The sequence below is a fragment of the Homo sapiens genome, chromosome 5, assembly GCF_000001405.40.
Source record: "Homo sapiens chromosome 5, GRCh38.p14 Primary Assembly".
Classification (NCBI taxonomy): Eukaryota; Metazoa; Chordata; class Mammalia; order Primates; family Hominidae; genus Homo; species Homo sapiens.
This window is the reverse complement of record NC_000005.10, coordinates 120431169-120455411: the sequence shown is the minus strand read 5'-3', so window position 1 is coordinate 120455411 and position 24243 is coordinate 120431169. Positions and strand designations below refer to the sequence as shown.

The 24243-nt window shown below is 37.4% G+C and overlaps 1 long non-coding RNA gene across 1 annotated transcript; it reads right to left on the bottom strand.

Annotated features, from left to right (window-relative positions):
- Window positions 1-3554: 3554 nt before the first annotated feature.
- LOC124901054 (uncharacterized) lies at window positions 3555-22344 on the bottom strand. The gene is made up of 2 exons (XR_007058914.1): window positions 21953-22344; window positions 3555-4956 (listed from the first exon to the last, which is right to left on the bottom strand). It is a non-coding gene; the product is annotated as an uncharacterized LOC124901054 (long non-coding RNA).
- Window positions 22345-24243: the final 1899 nt, after the last annotated feature.

Here is a 24243-nt window from a genome sequence, read left to right as displayed (position 1 = left end):
CTCATATTCTGCACCTCCAATGTCTTTTCTGTCCTTGAGTGCCAAAAAGTAGCGTATTTTCTTCTTCAGTACAGAAATGTGAGGGTAGAATTTGACTGGGTATGGTAGCTCACACCTGTAATCCCAGCACCTTGGGATGTTGAGGCAGGGGGTTCACTTGAGGTCAGGAGTTTGACCAGCCTGACCAATATGGCAAGACCCTGTCTCCATTAAATATGCGAAAATTAGCCAGGTGTGGTGGCTTATGTCTGTAGTCCCAGCTACTGGGGAGGCTGAGGTGGGGGAATCACTTGAACCTGGTAGGTGGAGGTTGCAGTGAGCAGAGATCGTGCCACTGCACTCCAACCTGGGCAACAGAGAGACTCTGTCTCAAAAAAATAAAAAAGGGTAGAATCTGCATGCTTAGTTTTAGCTCCCTGATTATTGAACTCCTATCTTTATTTGCTTCTGGATATTTAGAAATAGGGAAAGGAGGTTGGCCAGTAGATACTTGGTTTGAATTACTAAAGGAAAAGTCTCCTATTCTCAACTTCAGACTGAGAATTATTCAAGAAATTTCAAAGCCTGTGGCTATTTCCGATTTTTGAAACACAAGACTGAATCCTCAAGGGTTTGGGTTAATAATATTGTAGTAAAACAGAATGTACTACAACAATGGATATTTCCCTGTCATAATGGCATGGCAATATTTTACAAAAAGAAAAGCACTTCTTCAAGTGGTGCCCATCTGGAGCCACAAAGGAGCTCAGAATACACTAATGTAATCAAGAAAACAAAAGGGAAAGCTTTCCACCATGTACTTTCTACCATGCATTTGACATATTGGCAGCTCAGTAACATTCCTGACATTTCTGAGCTGTTCTGTGGAGCAGCACATGAATAGAAAGTGTGACTTAGACTATGTTGGCAAATAACCATGCTGCAGCACACGGTAAGATTCAGTCAGCTTTTCTTTAATAGGCTGAATGCCTGGTAATTTACAGCCAAGTGAATTAATGGTTGAAACTCTGTGAAAAAACATACTGTGTACCAAATTCTGCAATAATGTGACCATTGGATTCAACTTCTTCCTGACCCAGGAGTTTTTTTGATCTAGTAAGTGCAGCATAAAAATCAGTGACTTATGCAATATTGTTTCTAATGGGGTACATACTGTTCCTTATCTAACTGGCATCATATATGTTTCCAAGTTTGAAAATCATTGAAAGGTATAGTGTTTCACTAAATCTAGTGATAAATTGCATATTAGAAAATTAATTTTATTATTTGTATTTTGACATAGTATATACATTAAAAATTTTCATTCAATTTTGTAAGGATAACCCTAATAAAGTTATAAAAATAAAATGGGAGTCATATGTCAGTTTCTACTGAAATTATCCTACTGTTATAAAATATTAACTGGAGGGCAGGTGGAGGGTAATAATGTGATGTATGGAGCCTGACGGGGGAGTTACCAGAGTGAGGATTTGAATTAATAAAACCAGATGCGCTGTCTACTTTTCTTTGCAATGATCTGTGCACAGCTGACTTATCCATATAGACTACATCCGTGTGTTCTTTTGTTCTCTGTCTTCCAGATTGGATCAGGTAGTGGGAACTAGAGAAAGAATATTGATTTATCTTGCGTATTTTCTGTAAGTCTGGCTGTACCCCTGAGTCACATATCTTGACAAGGACATTTCTGGATTCTGGTTACCTTTATTCCCTTCAGACCTGATCTTCTTCTGAGTTTCTGCATCACTGCTTGGTTTTACTACACCCTATGCAGAATTTTGTCAGCTGTCCCTTATTAAGCTCTTTTCAAATTATTCACTAGGAAAGTGCCATCTTTTACCTGACTGTGCCTGATATAGACATGTTTGCACATATCTGGCCACCCAACCAGTTAGGTCCCTATTTACAAAAATATGAAAGAAACCCAAAGTCATTCAGTCTATGAGAAGAGAGACCTGGAGTCCCCAGTCTTGGTCCAAAAGTCATCCTCCCATCAACATTTTAGCTTATCCTAAAATGTGAGGGCATTTGTAATCAGTTTATTTAATAAACCAGTTATATATTAGGTCAAAACGTAATACTGATGAGTTTATATGGTGCATACAAACATGTTTTTACAGGTGCACAAAATTTCACGTTTTTCTTGTGATTTTTTTCTTCAGTATTCATGAATTGTGCAAATAACTCTACCATCATAGACATCTAGTACAGATTATATTCCTAAACCATTAGATATATTCAGAAACCATTACTGTGCAGAAGTAGTGTCAATTGTTTCTTCCATAAGCAACATAAGGCAAATAAAATATATTGGATAACCTAATCATAGATGAAAAGGAATATTTTAAAGTGCACTTGGATTATTTTTAACTTTTGTGCTTATACGTTTTCATAGAAGAATAGTCAGTTAGACTGCTGATGAACTTGAAAAGAACATATTAAAATTTATTTATTTGTTAATTAGTTTAGAAAGTCTATTAGAGGTTCAAGTTTCTTTTCATGCTGTGCAGGCAAATCTTCTCATTTGAGTGTTCTCACCTAGATACTTTATAATGATACATGTATCTCTATATTGTATGGTTTCTTATATCATTCTAATGTTTAGAACAGTGTTTAGCATGCTTTTGTATAGAGTTTTGTACCGTTGGACCCCTCCAATCTCCAAAATATATCTATATAATAGAAGACTGGAGAAGAAATGTTGAACAGATTCTCACTGGGGCATGAGGAGGGTGGGAATGTTGCTGACCATATCCCTAAGGAATGTTCTCAGGGCATGTAGAGAGTGTGAATTTGTCTTTATCCTTTGGGAAAATGTAGCTAAAGTTAACACTACATTGAAAAATATCAAAATGCAATTGATTGGTTATAATTTTAAAAAGTTTCTTGCTAGTATTGTTTGATTCTGCCCTCCCCCCAATTTTCTTTTCAAATTTCTATAAAGACAAAGAAAAAAAGAAATTAGGTACCTGGCTACTAAAATGATATTAGGCAAAACCAGTCTCTCTATCTATTTGGGGGGACTTCTTTTCGTGTGATCAGAATACTTCTAATGTACACTTCTACAGCTCCACATCCATGCAGACATTGTGGCTGACAGATAACAATGGACCTGCTCTGTGAAGAGGACATGTAGATTAAAATGCTGGTGGAAGGGTAAAGTCCTTGAGAACAAAATGAGTTAAAAAATGAAAGGACCATGAGGTACCCCTGGATACTAGAAATTGTACTTATTAAAGTTGGAAATATAAGAAGAAAGGCAGAGGATAAAATAAGACCATCTCTTAAAGCAGAAATACACCAAAGAGGTACCACTTATGCACCAAGAATTAGCCTGAAATCACTTATCCCAACCTGCCTTATTGGTTATGTACTAAAGTTTTCAACAGTACCCAAGAAGAATGTGCAAAGAACAAGGAAACTGACATACCGTGATTGTTGGCAAATTCTTAGGTAGAATCCATAGAGAGGAGAACCAAAGAACACAGGGACTATGATTAAATACTGAACAAAATAAGTAAAGAAAACTATTAAATTATGAAAAAACAGGAAGAAAATGATTGAAGAAATAATTTAATGAAGAAACCAGCCAAACAGTATTTTAAAAGACACCTCTTTAGTAATTTCAATGAGTAGCAATATGGCATCTATGTGATGGCAGTGGTGGCCCCAGACGCGGCTGCTGCCATGATGCCAGCAGCAGTAGGGGAGGTGCAGCTTGGGCTTCATGTGTACCCAGCTGGTGGGAGCCAGGAACAGGAGGAAGCCCTACCCCCTTCCGAGCTGGCAGGATGGAGCCTCTCGATCCCTGGGCGCAGTTGCAGGCACCTAGTTGCCCCTGCAGACCCAGGCATCCCTCTGCTCTTGCGGGTAGACAGCAGGCAAGAGACCTGCCCTCCTGGGTGCAGCAGCAGCCGTCCAAGCTGTGGCTGCGGATCTGGCCACCTCTGCACTGTCGGTGGCCCTGGAAGTCAACAGAGTTGAAACACACCCCTTGCTTGCCACATTACTGGGGACAAGAAGGAGAGAAGAGCTGCAGCCCTTCAGGAAGCCCAGACCTAGGAGTTCTCCAAGCCAGGGCTGTGACACCCTCTTTGGAATTCTTTCGTTCCTGGCATCTCCAAGCTTCTGGGTGACAATGTGTTTCTCCGGTGCCAGCCATGGAAGCTGCTAGCGTTACGCCTGGTCCAGCCACAGCCTTGCAGGGAGCCAGAGCCCATGCCAGTGCCTGGAGCTGCCCACCCCACCATAGCCCTCAAGGAACCTGGCTGTGTGCAGTGGCTGGACCCCATGCTTGCTCACATACCCCTCAGCACTCCACTCACCCTTGGCAGGCATGGGATCCAGGCCAGTAGCGCAAACCAAGCACAGTCCACCAGGTTGAGTGGGCCCAGTGGGCCTGAAGAAAACTCAGGCAAAGGCACCACTGTCCACAGTGGCTCCTGGCTGGTGAAGCAACACCCCAAGGATCCCATAATATATGGAACAAGACTAGAAAAGTATGGTAAAAACCAGGTTGAGGAGTCAGGTAATATACTTTCTCTCTGAATATTTCTAGAATACGTATGAAATGTTTTAAGCTCCTAATACATTTTTCCTAAAGCAGATCTTATATGACATATTCTATGATCAGATTACCATAAATTCAGAAGCTAATGTCAGAATAATTATGACATTAACAAAGGTATTTTTACAAACTACTATCATTTTTGATTAATAAAATACCTAGTAAATAACACTAGTGAGACCACAAGCCTCTGAGCCCTGTGAAACTGGGTAAAATGTTTGTCTTGTAAAATGTTTGTCTTGTTTGCCACTGCATGTTGAATGTAGGCATGTCTGGCACTTGACACATATTCACTAAATAAGTGATAAACATCATTACTATCCTAAGTTGGGTCTTGTAGGAGCAGATCCTGAGATGGGAACTCTTGATTGAGAGAGTGCTCTCGGAGAAGCCTGTAAGGACGAGAAGAAAGCAGGACGGAATATGAAGAAACCATGCAAATGCATTGTGTTAGCTTGGGCTGCCATTACAAAATACCGTAGACTGTGTGGCTTAAATAACAGAAATTTATCACAGTTCTGGAGGCTGGAAGTTCAAGATCAAGTTTCCACCAAAGTAGGTTTTATTCTGAAGCCTGTTCTCTTCACTTGTAGGCAGCCAACATTTCCCTGTGTTCTCAGATAACCTCTTATTTGCATGCTGGGAGAGACAGAGAGAGCTCTCTGGTATTTCTTCTTACAAGGACATTAATTGCTTCATGAAGGCCTGACCTTCATGACCTCATCTAATCCTTATTACCTCCTAAGATCTCATGTCCAAATACTATCACTTTGGGGCTTAGGGCTTCAATATATGAGTTTTAGAGGAACGCAATCAGTCCATAACATGTAGTTTCAGACAAATCCCAGCCCTTTGTTGAGACTTAATCTTGTCCCACCAAGAACTCTAAAATATAAATTGAACCACTGACGTTTTGTAGCTATATACAATCAATATTCCTGTTGGGTACCTCTGGTATATCGTGCTTTATGTGTCATCTTCTGGGTCAGATATGAGATATTTCAGGGCTACCATTCTAACTTAGATGCCCATTATGATCATTACACCCACTTTACTTCTAATGATTAAGGACTTCTCCCTGGCTGTTGCTATTCTGAGATTCTCTCACCCCCACTGTTAAGGGGAAGTGACAGAATCTCCCACGGTCAGCCCTGTCATACACAGGACAACCATTACTAAGGCATTCAGGAATTCTGGTGCTTCTTTTGCCAGTGCATCCTTTATTGCTTTGACATATTCAGCTGGTGTGTCTTTGAGTCTTAGAAATATTCATTCTAGCATAGGCTCTTCTCTGAGACTTTTGATCCATTCTTGCGTATTCTTCCACAGCAGTTCTGCTATTTCCAACTCCATGTAGGTCACTGCCTTTTCCAAGTTTCTAAGAGTCATCCAGGAAGTATATTAAAATCATCTCCAAAGGCCTGTGTGTGGGTCTTAATTCCTGGCATGGTGGATGGACTCCAAATGGAAAACTCTTTCATGTTCATAATTATATTCTTGTGATTTCTGGTTCAGTACCTTCAATATATATTCCCAGTCATACCTACCAATTACTTTGGGTACGTATTATACATTTTAACCAGATCTGATGGTTCCTTTGGTATAAAATTCCTCTTCTCCTTTCACATGGGGAGCTCTTCCCCATTCAGCTTATTCTCAGATATGACAAAATTATTGGTCTGGTGGCAGGAAGGGTAGGTACTTGTTACATTTAAGGCCTCTACAGAGTCTTCAAACAATGGGTACCATTACCTTCTCACAAGGCAGAGTAGACCAATCCACAGGCCTAGAGGTCTAAGGGGAATCTTGAAGCAATGTATTTCAGCCACCTCAGGACCTCTAACTGAAATGCTTTTCTTTCACTCACACAGCTACAAGATGCACTTCCTCACATTTTGGTAGTTTTATTTATTTATTTATTTATTTTTAGACAGAGTCTTGCTCTGTTGCCCAGGCTGGAGTGCATTGGTGCCATCTTGGCTCACTGCAACCTCTGCCTCCCAGGTTTAAGCTATTCTCCTGTCTCAGCCTCCTGGTTAGCTGGGATTATAGGGGCCCACCACCACACCCAGCTAATTTGTTTGTATTTTTAGTAGAGACGGGGTTTCACCGTGTTGGTCATGGTGGTCTCGAACTCCTGACCTCAGATGATCCACCCGCCTTGGCCTCTCAAAGGGCTGGGATTGCAGGAGTGAACCACTGCATCTCACCTTTGGTAGCCAGTTTTAAAATAGTATCTTTATAGTGATATCTTCCTGGACCACACTACTTTTGCCTTTATGATGACTACTGATAATATTGATTATATTTTTTTCTAAATGAATGCTAAGAATTTGAAAAACCCATGACATGTTTGCCTTGACTTTGAGATAAATTATGCCTATCATGCCTGGCACAAATTCCAATTACATATCGTTTGATCCACTGTATTACAACAGAACTTCATGAACACCAATCATATACAAATCATGTTACTAAACATGGCCTCCTTTTTTTTTTTTTTTTGGCTTATTTTGTATTAGCAGTGTGGCAGAGAATTGCCCCAGACACTCATATCCACCCCTCAGTGCAGAAGCCACCTAGCGTTGTCCCTACTGAAACTCCTCATTACTGCATCTTTAATAAAGGCTTAATTTGTCCAAATATTCTAAAGATTGCAGTGGCCAGTTTGCTCTTGGGTAGCCTGTTTATTATGGGTAATAGAAGCAATCAGGGTAGAAGAAATCAAGGCTGGATAAGAATACCTTCATGATAGTGGGAAGACATTGGAATGAGTCATAAAGAAAATATTACAAGAGCATTTGAGTGACTGCTGCCTCCCTCTATAGGTCTCCATAGGGATGTAGACCGTATTTTCAACTTGAATGCTTAGCTAGTCAGTGCTTGATGGAAAGTCAGGGAGTGATGCAGAACAAGAATAGGATAACATCTGCTGTGTCCTTATGTACTCTGCTCAGTGCATTATATGCATTATCTCATTTCATCTTTACAAATCTCCTATGAGTTAGGTAATACATTTATCTTTATGTACAGATGAGAAAAGTGAGGCAAAATAGTTTAATTGTGTATGATCACACAAGAAGAAGTAGCAGAGCTCTGAATGATTTCCCAGTTCTGGCTGACTACAATGTCAGCTCTGGGACCAACTACAAGCATTTGAGTCAATAAAAGGAACTCTTTTTTAACTGTTATGTACATACAAACTGGAATATGTTTTGTTCTTTTTTGGTCTCATTTTTCATCTACACAATAAGGATATTTTACTTGATGATGTCTAAGAAATTTTCCACCTGCAAAACTTCAAATATTTATTTAATCATTTACCTACTGAGCTTGCATCAAGTGCCCAGATATTTTAAAATACAACACTAGATTTTCTTAGCAATATAAATTCAATTTATTCATTTTTTTCTTGCATTCCCTTTTTTTAATAGGAGATTGTACAATGAGACAGAAATAAGATATCATTTGTGGTTTTACTTTCTTTCCTGGGTACCTTTGATGTCAATATTACAGATACACAAACATGTAATTTGTTTCACCAAGAGTAGGCAACATCCTCTTTACCCTGATAATATTTTCTTTATTCTAGAGACAGAGCCTGCTTGTTGAATACCCTGCATATTTATGTAATTGACTATGTTACTCTCATTTCCCTTTTAGCTCTTTAATGAAAACATGCAAATAAAAAGTCTGGAATGTTTTCTCTGATGGTTGAAATTTATTACTTGCACCATAAATTTGAGGTCCGAGAAACACAAGATTGTTCAGGATCACACAGTTTTATATTCCAGAAGCTGTAAATGTTTCCCACTTAAGTAAAAGCAAATACTTTTGCCATTGTGCGTTTTGTGTTTCTAGCAGCCTTACATACTCTACATGCCAGAAATAATTACTCTCACCATGTTTCTTCTTTGTTTATGGGTATAATCCATTTCACTAATTACTCAAAACATGTTTTCCTATACATCATGCTGGTAACATCTTTTGAACAAGTGTAGATTTAATGCCTGTATAACACTTTCATTTCTAAATAGAAATATTTTGTTCCATTCTCTTTTGAAATAATAATGTCAGAAAAGACATCTACTCTGAATTTTTCTATACTGAATTATTTTTGTGTTCCATTGGCTGCAGGTTAGCTCCCTCAGAAATCAGTCTACCAGGTAGCTTACAGGATCCACTGTAGTGGGCATTTGTTAATGACTCTAGTAATCATTTTCCTGTCCCTTTCTCCACTGTTCTACATCACAAGGAAGGCCATTTTCCTGCCAGCTAGCTTTTTTTTTTTTTTTTTTTTTTTTTTTTTACCAGTCAGCCTCTGAGCAAGTTTATTAATGGTGAAAACTGGAAAAGAGGAGTAAGAGAGAAACAAAAGTATTTCTTCATCTCTTAGGAGAGAGTTAGATACCATGGCAACATCTTTAGCAGTGGCTGTATCATCTCAGCTCATAACAGAACAGCCCCTCTCTCTAGGATATGATGGTTCCTGGCAAGGAATCTAGCTTCCCTTATAGATTTGTTATCATCATTTCTTCCCTTTGTCCCTGCTCCAGGGTTGTCCTGCTTCCAGCTGCTGTTAATCTCTGGCTTGCCTCACCAACCCTTTTTGACTCACCAGCTCTTCTATCACCCATGTAAACAATTCCATGAATTTTATTTTCTCTGTTTGAAACACTTAGTAGTTTCCGTTTCTGGGCTGTTTATGTTTTTACACAGATTAAGCCACACTTACTCATTTGACAGGCATTCACAACTACTGCATTATGAATCGAGCTTGGGTAAGGCATTGTAAGAAATCTATGGTTAAGGGTGTCCCTATGGATAAGTACACATTTTTCCTATCTTTTATGGAAATTATAGTCCAGTATGAAAGGGGGTATTTTATAATAAATTGAGCCTACAATTAATTATTGAAATAATATATATTTCTCTTTACATATAATTAATGATCTGATATTATCACTTTTTGGTTCATAAATGGAACATTCTAGCTGTGTCTTTACATGGTGGAAGGGGTAAGTGGTCTTTAATGCCTCATTCATAAGGACATTAATCTCATCTCCCAAAGTGTCTACCTCCTAATTCCACCACCTTAGAGATTAGCATACAATAAAATAATTCTGGGGAAAGGGAAGGAACACAAACATTCAGAACATAGCACTTACCATTCTTAGTTTTCATTTCACCAATGCTGAATTTTTATCAATACTAACGTATCTCAGTGTAGATAACAATGCAGTTGTTCCTTTCCATGGGTAATTATTTTACCTTGGCTCTTCTTCACAGCTAGGACTCTTAAATAAACCTGTCAAATTCTCCTCTTTCATTGTTCCACTATTTTCTTTTAATTTTCCCTGTCTATTGTTAATAAACATGTGATTGTTTCCACTTTATACAAAGGGCCACTGCTTAATTCCACCTGTGTATGTTTCTGTCTGCTTGCTTCCAACTTTGTTTCTCTCTCATACAATGTGAACACATTCAAAGTAACATTTACACAAATTGCTATACTAACAAAGAACAAGGAATGAGCAGCTGTGGAGTCAGGAAAAGGCTTTTTAAGACTGAGGTCCTGCAAAATGCATAAAATATTTCTAGAGTAGTGGTCCTCAAACTTTTTGGTCTCAGAACAATTTTATACTCTTAAATGTAACTGAGGGAGCCAAAATTCTTCTGCTTACATGCATTATATTTACCTATATCTACTATATTGTAAATTAAAACCAAAATTTACAACATATTTTTGTTTATTCACTTACAGATAAATAAAAATCACTGCATGCTAACATTAAAACATATTTTTCTTTTATAAAAAGTTGCAATATTTTCAAATAAATCAGTGATATGAGTTTGAAGAATATCATTGTTTTACAATTTTGTGAATCTTCTTAATGTCTGGTTAACACTGCTGGTTTCTCATATCTGCTCTGTATTATATCTGTTGCAGAATATTGTTTTGCTTGACATATGTAAAGAAAGTCCCACCTCATACAGGTATATAATTGAACAAGGGAAAATAACAGTGTTTTCAGATAACTAAAAATAGTATTACACTAAAACTCAAGTAGTAGTAAGTTCTTACATGTTCATTGTAATGTGCATTCTGAAACTGTATCAGTAACCTTATTTTACCCTGCCCGTTTCATTAAAATCAATTGGTCTGTCCTGCACTTTAATAGTTTATCTTTAAACCATTATATACTGATCATTTGAAAAATATTTGTTTGTGGAATTATGCAGAATTAGAATTTCAAAATTTTGACACATTTCATTATACACTATAAAAATCACATCCATTAATATCATTACCAATATTCTCAGAAAGGTCTTTAAGTACTGAGAAACACTCAAGCTCACAGTGGAAAATAGAAGTTTTTCAATATTCAAATTTTCCTGTGAAAGCTCAAATGTTATCCTTGGTTGTGTATAACATCAATAATTTGTTTTTTTGGAGTGATAGGGTCACTTTGTTCATTTTCCAGAAAATGTCTGCCAAACTCCCAATTCTGAATAACAATTTTCAGTTATTCCTTTGAGTAAAAATGATGATCAGATCACAACTCAATTGCACAGTGTTTTTGGAATAACCACTGTTTTTTAATGCCCAGCCTAAGTGCTTTATTTGTATTTCCCCTTTTGTCATACAGCATATTTTTAAGTTCAATAATTGAGTCAAAATTTAATAAAATTTATAATCTTAATAGCCTCATTAAAGACATTCTTGAATAAAATTTTCTTTTTTAAAAAAAGCTGTAAGTGCCTGGCTGTGAAGACTACAATAATGATGTATGTATTTCTGCGCCACTGTCTTGATTGGTGCTGTTTAATCTACCATGGATTGCATAAAATCAGTACCATGTCAGCATACAGAAAAAGCCAAATAATGTCATAGTATATTTTGAAAATATATTTGACTTCCTGGAACCCTTGAAGGGATCCTAAGAACCCTCAGGGTTCCACGGACCAAACTCTAGATATTGCTGCTGTATACAGAAGCCTGAAGAACATTCTGGCAGAAGTAATTGCATACCTAAAGACTGAAACCACACATATTTATCAACAGCACCTAGTTAACAAGAGCTTATAATTATAAATAGCACACAGTCTGCCCCCATACATGATTATTCTTTTTCGTCTCCATGCCATTGTACTCTCAAAAGGGCAGGGTAGATAGTAAGAAGGCCAGAAAGATATATGGAGAAGATTATGAAGTTTGTTTGCATCCTTTGGTCCACTTTGGTGGGAGAGTCAGCAATGTGCTACCTTGCTCTTAATATTTTCAGTTCATTGTTCTTACAGATCTGTAGAACTATACAGTCCAATATGATAGCCATTAGCCCAATGTGCTTATTGAAATTAAAATTAAATATACTGAAATAATTTTAAAAATTCAGTTCCTTGGTTAAACTGGTAATATTTCAAGTGCTCAATATCACATGTGGCTAGTAGCTAGTATACAGCATTTCCACCACTACAGAACATTCTATTAGAGAGGGTTGCTGTGGAATATCGTACTTATTTTCTTCCTCACAAAAAAAAAATGTATTTCATTCCCCTTATGGTAGTTACCTCAAATGAAAAATTTTACATAATCTGCCTTATTGTTGGTACTTTGCTTTGTTTCTGTTATTTTGTTTAATATAAACCCCCATGAGAATGCACTTTCCAATACACTAGACTCACAATTTGTTGATGTTCTATATTTCCAATCTCCTTTACCTCTGTGTTTCTCCTTAAATAAGCCAGAACTGCTCCATCTCTGAAACTTCATTGTCTCATTCCCAGATCACATATCCATCTTTTATCTCCCATTTCCTTATGTCCATCTTACTTGGTATTTGAACTTATTAAGAACAGAGCATAGCCATAGACCTATTTTACATGATTAAGTAACCGCTCTCTCTCTCAAAATAGAAAGAATTTTCTGGCCTGGACTCTTGGATGCTATCACTTGAATGGAAACTCTGCCAAGTACCTCAAGTGGCGCCCATGAATAGTATCATCCATGCCAGTTTAATTGTTTTAGGGCCTGCATTTTTTCTTTTCTGTCTGTGTTCTGTCTGATGTTCGCTCTACTTTCATTCTACCCCTTTGAAGTTGAACATACATCAAGAATTTTGAAATATAATCATGACAGTTACTGAAGCCTTTTAATCCTCTTCTCTTCTCCCCACCTACTTGAATTCCTATACTCTGTCTTCTACCCACGTGCCTATAGCAGAATCCAGAAAATTGACCATAACTCCATCCAGTCTACCATACAATACATACAACTGGTCACTAAGTTTTGCCCTTTCTGCCTTCTAAATGTCTCTCATATCAATTCTCTCCTCTCCAAACCTCTCAAAACAAATTTGCTGGTGGCATTGGGAAGGGGGATTGGTTGACTAGAATTAGAAGTTGTTCCTGGAACAGATGAGGCTCCAAAAGGGTAATTTGGGTTTTTAATGAACTTCCAGAAGTCTTCTAGAAAAAAAGGATATAGAGAGAATTTCAGATCATGAGACAACAGGATCAATAATTTGTAAACATGTAGAGGCAAGTTGGAAAGGTATAGCCCACAGCTTCTTGAAGCTGTACAGAAAGAAGAAAATAAGCTATTACAGGCAATGAAAAGAGCATTTTGTGGAGAGATTTTGCAATGAAAAATCTATGCATGATGGTAGCCAGCGGTGAACGACGGTGATGGTTGTGTAGAATACAGCAGCTGTCTCAGAGGGAGCAGAAGCCTTGGTATTAAAACTCTTGTTTCAGTCTGTGACATAAAATTTTGCCAACTTTATCTGCACAAACTCTCAGCACCCAACTTCCTGCCTAAGGCAAAGGAAGAGTATGTGTGGAATAGCATCCCTTCACATCTCCTAATCCCTGTTGCTGCATGGGAGGCTGGTGGCTGAAACAGCTGATTGTGAACTTTTCCAGCAGCACTTGATCCTCTGAGAGATGTTGGGGGAAACCAGGAGTAGGACAAAGTAGTAGAAGACATCCAAAAAATAATCCTTGTCCCTTAAATCCTCCATTATCCTTGTTGAGACAGAAGGAAGTAGGTGAAGAATTTTCAGCATCAGAGCAGCTATAGTGCTAACTTCTTAACATGACTCCTATGCTGGTGGCCTGGAGATATGAACTTTACAGGGCCATTTCTGTAGTTTTATTGTTTCTACTATAATACAAACTCCTTGAAGACAGGGTGTATGTCTTAATAATAATTACATACTCTCTGATAATGTATTTAATGAAATCTCACTGTTTGTGATTTACAGAGAATATTCAAGAGGGCATTCTGTCATCTGCGAGAATACTGCATAGAAATTAATTTAGTAATTAGCTCTCCTATGTAATTTATATTATATTTTATATTTCCTTCTCTTTTCAAAGTTACTCTCAAGATAATAAAATCTGACATCCACAATATTTTAACACCAGTAGTGGTTTATAGCATTTATAATATATTTAGTCAAATCTCCCTCACTCTCTCTGTACTCCCATTCATATATATCCCACACCTTTATGTCATAGAAGTACAGAATTAGAAGGCAACAAGAGTCTATTATACTATCCCACACTTTCAGGCAGGCTTGAACTTATAAGAACAGAGGCAATATGTAAAGTTTATTACGTTTAAGCATTGCTGTGGAAGCTTAGCCTCTGTTGCAGCTGAATATATATATATGTATATATATTTTATATATAGTATATATACGTACTATATAGTATATATAAAAACTATATATATTTATGTATATAAATATATATATGTGTATAGATACACATATATATACACACACACACACACATATATATTCACCAGGTCCATATTTACTAGGAGGTGTTGGCAAAAGATATTTGTTCTACTTCTAAAGACAAAAAGCATTTGAATGGCAAAATTTGAACACTTAACCTTGATGAATTAATGGAGAAAATAGGCCATTTTCTCCATATGTCCATTTGTATGTATGGCAGCCTCATATAACTTTCTAACTCTTCATGTGTTTTCTTTTTCTTTATCATATTGATCAATCCCTGACATCATTTTATATATTCACTTTTTATTGTCTATCCCTTCCATTAGAATAAGCTCTGTGAAGGAAGCACCTTTGCTTTGCTCAAAATTTCCACCATCTGGAATAGCACACATATCTGGTGCTCAAGCCATATTTGAGTGGATGAATGAATACATGACATATAATCACTTTTCTTCAAAGACAGGAATAGTTTTTTTTTTACAAAATGTCTTCCATATGACAAAAATTACATTAAACACTTTATGCACATTTTCTTCAATGCCAATAAAATCTTGAAAATTAGACAATATTACATTCATTTTAAAGAAAAGACAACTAATCTCAGAGAAGGTGAGTTGATTGTGAAAAATCAAAAGCTGGTTAGAGGCGGGCTAGTTCTTGCATTACAGCATAAAGATCTCCATGGATCCACTCCCCAGTCAAACTGGCAAACATTATTTTTATAAAACAAACATTTAACTTTCTAGGGTTGGTTCTAAGAGCATAGAACAAATGAAGAAATATTTATTAAAGAAAATATACTAAACTTCACTATGGCATTTGAATTAAGCCCCTACTCCTTTCATTGTCTCTCCCTGGTCTGGAAGAAGGAAACTCCACCCTAGGCTGGTGCAGCCAAGAACAGAGCCCTCTCCATGCAGCTCCCAGCTTATGTTCTAGGGAGGGGAAGGCCCTCATTCCTCATCCTTCCCCCAGATTTCTGATGCTGAGGATGTTTTAGGGAAGTACCACCAAGGGATGGCAGTCTTCTGGGCTCCATTTTTCTGCAAGGCCCCACTGGAGGGATAAAGGCTCTACTTTGGGTATGCCACAGCTAAAACTACTGGACACTGATTGTCCTTCCCCTGGCTCATGTTATTTTTAAAATTAATTACATTATTATCAAAGCAATTACTATCAACTCTCTTAACTGTTGTTTATGGTATTCGCTGAAAAAAAAATACTTAGATAGTTAAATTTAACAAAGTTAATTTGAACGACAAAAAAAGATTCTAGAAGCAGGCTGCTTCCAACTGAAGATGGTTCAAAATGCCCGTGCCTACAACATGAGCAGCAAACTGATTAGTACAGTTTGGCCTTTGCCTTATTTGGGCAAAATTTGGCAGCTTTCTGTTTGAGATCAGTGAGACTAAGCTGCCTAATTATAAGGATATACTACTAGTTAGGTTACAACTTGTTTAACCATCAAGCTAAGGTACAGCTCATTGTGTATGGAGGCCACTTTGAGCCAAACTGAATTTAACATATTTATATCTGCATTTCTAATTAATAGGCTTATACTGTTATTTCACGATTCATCAATATTACAGATGACCCCTTTACTTCTGGCCATGATGGATGATGCTTTAACTTGTCAATACTCGCCTCAACCACATAATCTCTCCAACCTCCTCCTACATAGTTATAACTTGTGCTTTCTTTTTTTTAGTAAACCACTAGTCACTGATTACATTACATGATTATGACTATGCAGGTGTTTTTGTTTACTGATAAAACAACTAAGATATGAAATGTATTTTTCCATTCCTGTTTCTCCATTTTTTTCCTGGAATTGATGATTGCCAAATTGATTTATTCACCTTTTAAAAAAAGTCTATCATTTTTTCCAAATGTGGAACATTTTTCACCGCATTTATTATTGCCATTTATATACTGAAGTACATTATTTCTATTTTTTCCTCCCTTGATTCTTCAAATCCAATTAAATTCATTTCTTTCGGCACTTGCTATGCATTTGTCCATTTGGGATGTTTCTTTCTCATTGTCTTGGAAATTAGTTTTTTCAGTATCCTTTAATGAGTTGCCTTTTTCCTGGATCCTAAGTCTATCATTTTCTTAATTTAATGCTTCATTTGGCTACAGTACATCCTCTGGAAATGTCCTAAAAATGCATGCATAGCAGACACATTTTTAGTCCTTGTATCTATGTCTTTATTTTGCTACAACAGGTGAATAAGAATTAACTTGGAATTCTAGCATAGAAATAATTTTTCCTCAGAATTTGGATGGCATTTTTATGCTATCTTTTAGATTCTGAGGTTGAATACGTGTTGCCAGTGTGTACGATATTGATATTTCTTGAAATATCTTAGTGAGCCTTTTTCTTTTCTTTTTTTTAGTATTTAACATTGTCTCTAACATATTGTATTTTATTTTTCAAAATTATATAATGTAAGAACAAGCAATGGTTTTTAAAATTAAGCCCCAAATAGATGACTTCAATCCCTTCTAGTTTATCCCAGAGTATCTTACAATTTTTTTTTTTTTTTTTTTTTTTTTTTTTTTTTTTTTTTTTTTTTTTTGAGACGGAGTCTTGCTCTGTCGCCCAGGCTGGAGTGCAGTGGCACGATCTGGGCTCACTGCGACCTCTGCCTCCTGGGTTCAAGCGATTCTTCTGCCTCAGCCTCCTGATTAGCTGAGATTACAGGCATCCACCAGCATGCCCGGATAATTTCTGTATTTTTTTTTATATATACTTTAAGTTCTGGGATACATGTGCAGAACGTGCAGGTTTGTTACATAGGTACATATGTGCCATGGTGGTTTGCTGTACCCATCAACCCGTCATCTAAATTAGGTATTTCTCCTAATGCTATCCCTCCCCTTGCCCCCCACCCCGCGACAGGCCCCGGTGTGTGATGTTCCCCTCCCTGTGCCTGTATGTTCTCATTGTTCAACTCCCACTTATGAATGAGAACATGTGGTGTTTGGTTTTCTGTTCCTGTGTTAGTTTGCAGAGAATGATGGTTTCCAGCTTCATCCATGTCCCTGCAAAAGACATTAACTCATTCTGAAGACATATGTCTTTAGTTTCAATATTTTTTCTTGTGTAAGCCTTGTTAGTACTTTTCCTTCCTTTTTTTCTGTTACTAAAAATATCATATTTCATATGTTGGCTTTCTTGGATTGGTCCTGAACCACTTTCTTATTTTAAATATTTTGATGTATACTCAAATTTCTAGGCAATTTCTCTGATTTTATTTTCCAAAACTTCTATTGATATTTTTCTTATGTATTTAATTAATTTATTTATTTTGTTGTTATTGAGACAGGGTCTCACTCTGTCACCCAGACTGAAGTGCAGTGGCACAATCTTGGCTCAGGGCAACCTCCGCCTCCCAGGCTCAAGCGATTCTCCTGCCTCAGTCTCCTGAGTAGCTGGGATTACAGGTGTGCACCACTATCGCCTGGCTAATTTTGGTATTTTTAGTAGAAACGGGGTTTCACCATGTTGGCCAGGCTGGTCTTGAACTCCTGACCTCAAGTGATCCACCCACCTCAGCCTCCCGAAGTGTTGGGATTACAGGCGTGAGCTACAGCACCTGGCCTCTCATGTATTTTAAATTCTTAGAATCATGTTTTTGCTCTCTGATTTTTATTTTTCCTTAGAATTCTTCTCTAGTTTCATAAATGAACTTTATATCTCTATGATGATATCTAGAGCTGTACTCTAGCTGTACTTTATGTTTTTTTTCTTCTTAATATCTGTTTTGGTCTCTTTCATGTAGGAGGCTTCCTTCAAATGGATGGTAATTTTTATCTGTCTACTCATATTCAAGAATGAAGTAGTAAAAAGTGGCTAGTTAACTCTGAGTACAAATGTACTTTGTTGTCTTTTGCATTTTTATTCAAAGTGTGACTCATGGACCAGCAGAAATGCAGAAGTATTAGAAATGGTGAATCTGAGGCCATACCCCAGAACTAATCAACTAAAGTACGTATTCCAGTAAGACCTCAGGCTCTTGCAATGTGCACATTCAAGTTTGAGATGCACTGATTTAGTTCATTTCACTATAATAATCATAAAATCAGGCTTTTCATTATCCCCATCTCATTTATCAATATTAGTAGGTATTTCTTCCCTGGGACCCTTTAGTTTCTGTCATTTTCTTGATTTAATAATTTTTTCATTTTGAGGGGATGGTGGTGGCAAGCAGTGCATGCTGGCTTCCGGATTCTGGGAATTAAGATAGTAATGGACTCCAAAGATCTACAGAACTTTGCTTTTGACCAATCCCTGTTTTTAGTTCCACATATTCCTCGCACTTTGTCGATTTGATAGCTCTAAGGTTTTAGCTTTTCTGGAGTTATTTAGGGCAAATTGCCTTACTTGTCCTTTTATGCATCCCTGAAAGTTCTTTGGTTTTAACTTCCTCCATTTTGTTAAGTCAATTATGATTCTCCATTCTATTATGTTGTCTGTGCTCCAGTTCTTTTTCTTCAATGTAATGAAGCCATTGCAAAAACTCATTTACTGTCATTGAATTGAGTATTTGAAAAGAGAACACATAAACACCAATGGTCAATGAGGGACGTAATTTTGAAGCAGTGGAGGAGTAAGTGTTGGAGTAAGAAGGCTCTGAATAAGAAGAGAGAAGGCTGCCCAAGGGTTCCAGGGAGATGGTTGGCTGGAATATGAGAGTAAAGGAAAGACACTGAAAAAGGAGCTACTAAAAATAAATCACCGGCTTTGTATTTTTGCCTGCTTTGGTCCTAATGTCAGGTGTCAATCCTTGCATGAAGCAGAATCCTTGTTAACTTAAGAGAGAGGAGAATTTGGGTTAATGCAGGTCACTTTGCCCCATTGCCTCTAACTGTTCAAAGAATAAGACCTCTTTGGTGTCACTATGTGTTGTAAATGCTCCTTGGTCCTTGTATATTCTAGGAAGGTGGCTGAATTTTTCTTTTATTAGAGAACCCTGAGACAGCCACATCAGACTCCTAGTTATTCTGGGGAATTGGTGGTGTTAGAAGCTTCCAAGCAGGAAAAATATTTTAGTATCTTTAGATGAACAGAATGGCAAATGTGGTAAATGGGATTTTGAATGCAAGTCTGTAAACTTGTTCCATGCAACATTACCCCCGGTAGATCCTCCTTGAAAAAAGAGTTCTGGATCAATTCCATTAAAGGCCGTTAGCACTGAAAAAAATCACGTTTACACCCAGTATGCTTACCAAAATAAACACATTAGACGTGGAACAAATGTAACCAATCCAACCAAATTTTTATTTTTCCTGGTGTTAACTTCTTTGATGCCTTAAGCAAATATCAGATAACAAAACAATTTTTTCCAACTTTGCTTGTCCCAAACATATATTTTATCTAAAAGTTAATGGTTATTCTGGCATGTGTTCTATAATTAAATAATTTGGGGGAAGTTATGCATTTTCTCTAAAAAATCCATAATGCATGTGAGTACATTAAAGAGTTGACAATTCATTGGAGAGAAAAATGTGCAAGCTTAACATAGCATTTCCAAATCCTATGTGATCATAGAACTTATTTTTTGACAAAATTCCTATTAGTATTTCATTGAACTAATGGTCTGCAGAAGATACTTGGAGACCACGGCTTAGCGGACTAAAGTTGAACAAGACAGATATCTGGCTCATGCAAGCCACCCTGTGTCCAAGATTATGCACAAATAGACATGATGGCACCAAAGACTAATCTTTCAGAACATTTGTTCTTTTAATATGGAACATGAATCTCAACCATCTAAATATAATTCTTGCTTTTACCAGACAAAATATTTTCTGCACCTCACTGTAGTGTAACATTACTGGTGCTATTTTAATTGCCACTTGATATCATTGCAGAGGCAGCTGGTTATGTTTAGACTGTGACAGAATTGACAGAAGTTGTATTTGTGTAATATAAATTGTAATTCTCTGAAGTTTTCATTTATGTTTTAAAAGTGCCATGCACTTCAATAAGTGATAGATTTCTCAAGGCATTTGAGAGTCCAACAATCTGGTTTTAATTAGATAAAATGTAGATTTAACTTATGTGTAAATTGAAAGGTAAACAAAAATAAGTATGTTTTATTGGCTCAGTTATATTCTATGTAGTATTACAAGGTTATTGAAGATTATAATTTTAGATTAAGTTCATCAAGGTCCAATGTGCTAATGTGGCTTCCTATTGGATGCACTAGAATATGTATCCCTGATATAACCATCAAATAAAGCAAAACCAGCTCGAGGATTGAATTCAACTGTATTATGTAGTAATGAAATGCTAATAAGGAAGTTGGAGTTAACAGCACTGAATAACTCTGCTAGACATATATTTTGAGCTATTTTTTCTAGTATAATTTATGGATGTGTTTTCATTCATCACATTTGTTCTATTTCTTCTTTTGACCAACTGAATGAATAAAATAAGTCTGATGGAGATTCAGGGTGTGTTCTATGATTATTAAAACCATTCAGCTAACTTGTTTGAGTCAGTGTTATATCACTAATTAGCACTTTATTACCAAATAAATTAATGAGCTACAATATATGGCTTCATAGTGCATATAATATAGAAGTTCTTAGTGTTGTTCTATTTTTAAAATGGAAGCTAAATGGATGCTAGGAAATCTAAAAGCACTGTGTTCCCTATAGTCAAGAGAAGACTGTATTCATGACTATAATGATAATGCTAATATGAATAATGGCCTACTGTTATTATAAAACCAGTCTTAGGCTATTTTTAGAGCAATTTTACGTTTACAGCAAAATTGAACAGAAGATACAGAAATTTCCCATTTACCTTCTGCCCCTATGTATGCATAGCCTTCCCCATTATAACCATTCCCCACTAGAGTGGTACATATGTTACAACTGATGAATCTGCATTGACATATCATTATCACCCAAGATTCCACAGTTTATTTTAGCATTCACGTTTGATGCTGTACAATCTGTGAGATTAAACAAATTTTTAATGACATGTACCACTGTAGAATATTATACAAAGAAGTTTCCCTGACTTAAAAGTTCTCTGTGCTCTGCCGATTCATCCCTATCTTCTCTCTAATACCTGGAAACCACTGATTTTTAAAAACATATTTATTTATTTCAATTGACTGATCTTTTCATTGTGTCCATAGTTTTGCTTTTTCCAGAATGTCTTATATTTGGAATTATACACTATGTACCTTTTTCAGATTGGCTTCTTTCACTTAATAATACACATTTAAGTTTCCTCCATGTCTTTTCATTTTTGATAGTTCATTTCTTTTTAATGCTAAACGGTATTATCTTATCTGTATGTATCAGTTTATTTATCCAGTCACATAGTGAAGGATATCTTGGCAACTATGAATAAAGCCTCTATAAATATCTGTGTACAAGTTTCTGTGTACTTGTGTGTACACATCAATAAATATCTTGGTACAAATTTTTGTGTACTTATGTGAAAATGTAAGTTTTCAATTCTTTTGGGCAATTACCAAAAGTGTGATTGCTGGATCATATCATAAGAGTACGTTTAGTTTTTTAAAAACTACTAAAATGTCTTCGAAACTGACTATACTATTCTCATTCCCAGCAGGACTGAATGAGAATTCCTGTTGCTCCATATCCTTACCAGCATTCGATGCTCTCAGTATTCTAGATTTTGGCCATTCTAATAGGTGTGTAGCGGGACCTCATTATTGTTTCCCTTTGCATTTCCTTGATGACATATGATGCGGAGTGTCTTTTTCTATGTCATCTGCACATCTTCTTTGGTGAGGTGTCTGTTAAGGTCTTTGGTCCATCTGTCAATCAAATTGTAGTTAAAAGTTCTTTGTATGCCCAGAGTTTCAGGACTGAAAACTACACAAATAATACCATTATTGTATAATTTATTTTTTGGCCAGTGAAGTAAAAGAGACCATTCATGACTTTTTCTTAATTTTCCAAATGCCATATCTTAAAACCTTGCTTAAGAAATTTCTTCCTCTTAACCACACACCAGTCAGTACTAAGCCCTAAGAGGCTGTTGGAACTATGATAGTTTATTGGAATGACCTAAAAATAGAAAAAGGATCCTGTTTCAATGACATGTCTTTAATTCAGTCCTAGCATAAATAAAAATAATTCTTATACTGGAATAGATATAAAGTAAATCTGGATTTCTCTATAAAAATATGAAAAAAATATGAAACACATTTTATTAAACTTATTAATTAAACCACTAAAAAACAGTTTTGGCTGATGGCCTCCATGGCAGCCTGTGTGGTTCTGGGCCTAGCCTCATTCTTCTCTCAAAGTGGGGGCTGCCTTGCCTATTCCTCCATCCCCCGTTACTTAGCAACATTGGTGGCACCCCATAAGTGGTGACACAGCCACATCAATTTGCACAGTTCTGGAGAGTGAGAAGTCCAAGATCAAGGTAACGGCATTTGATGTCTGGTGAAGGCCTTCTGGTTGCATCGTCACATGGCCAAAGGGATGAAAACTATCCTCACATGGCAGAAGGTGGAAGGGCAAAAAAGGACCTAAGCTAGGCCTTCTAGCTCTTTTATAAGGCACTAAACCATTCATGAGGGGTCTGCTTACCCAAACTCTGCCACAACTCTCAATGCCACCACAATGAGGATTAAGCTTTAACAAGAACTTTGGAGGGGACACATTAAAATCATAGCACTGGGGGAGCAGCTGCTGAATAGAAGCAGCTCTGCTCTGCAGCTCCCACCAAGAAGGGTCAAAACTGTGAGTAAGCTCTGCGTCTTCAATTGAGGAACGAAGATTCTCTCACTGGGAGTGACTCGGTGGTTGGTGTGAATCCCGGAGAATGCAGAATAGCAGGGTGGAGCGAGGGCCCACACGGGAGCTGCATGGGGGAAAAGGGAACTCCCTTCAGCAACCAATGGAGACGGTGAAGGATTGTGCTTCCCCTCCCTGAAATCATGCTTTTCCCGTGGATCCTTTCAACCCATGGATCAGGAAGTCCCCTCCTGAGCCCACTCCACCATAGCCTTGGGTCCCAAGCATAAAGATGTAGAAACTCGCCATAGGCGGAGGGGCAGCTGTGACATCATGGATCAGCAATCTTAGTCTTTTCTGCCTCTTGGTACTGGAGAGTCAGAGGAGCCCAGATGAGGAGATTTCCCCCAGTGCAGCACACCTGCTCAGCCAAGGAGCAGCCAGACTGCTTATTTAAGTGGGTCCCTAATTCTGGTCCTCATGACTGAATGAGACCTCCCAACAGGAGTCTCCAGGCACTGCATAGAGGGGTGTTCTGGCTGGCACCAGGTCTGTGCTCCTCCAGGACAGAGCTCTGAGAGGAAGGAGCAGTCTGCTCTTTTTGCTGCTCTGCAGACTCCACTAGTGATATCTCCAGGGGTGGGAGAGACCCAGCAGAATAGGGTCAGGAGTGGACCCCCAGCAAACCTCAGCAGCTCTACAGAAGAGGGGCCTGACTGCTAAAAGAAAAACAAACAGAAAGCAACAACATAAACATCAAAGAAAAAGACCCTACAAAAATGTCATCCAAAAGTCAGCAGCCTCAAAGATCAAAAGTAGATAAACCCATGAAGATGAGAAAAAAATCAACACAAAATGCTGAGAACTCTAAATCCAGAGTGTCTCTTCTCCTCCAATTGATTGCAACATGTCTACAGCAAGGGCACAAAACTGGGCTGAGGCTGAGATGGATGAATTGACAGAAGTAGGCTTTAGAAGATGGGTAATAATGAACTCCACTGAGCTAAAGGATTATGTTCTAACTCACTGCAAAAAAGCTAAGAGCCATGATAAAATATTAGAGGTGCTGTTAATCAGAAGAACCAGTTTAGAGAGGAACATAAAAGATCTGATAGAGATGAAAAACACAACAAAGGAACTTTATAATGCAAACACAAGTGTTAATAGCTGAATAGACTAAGCAGAAGA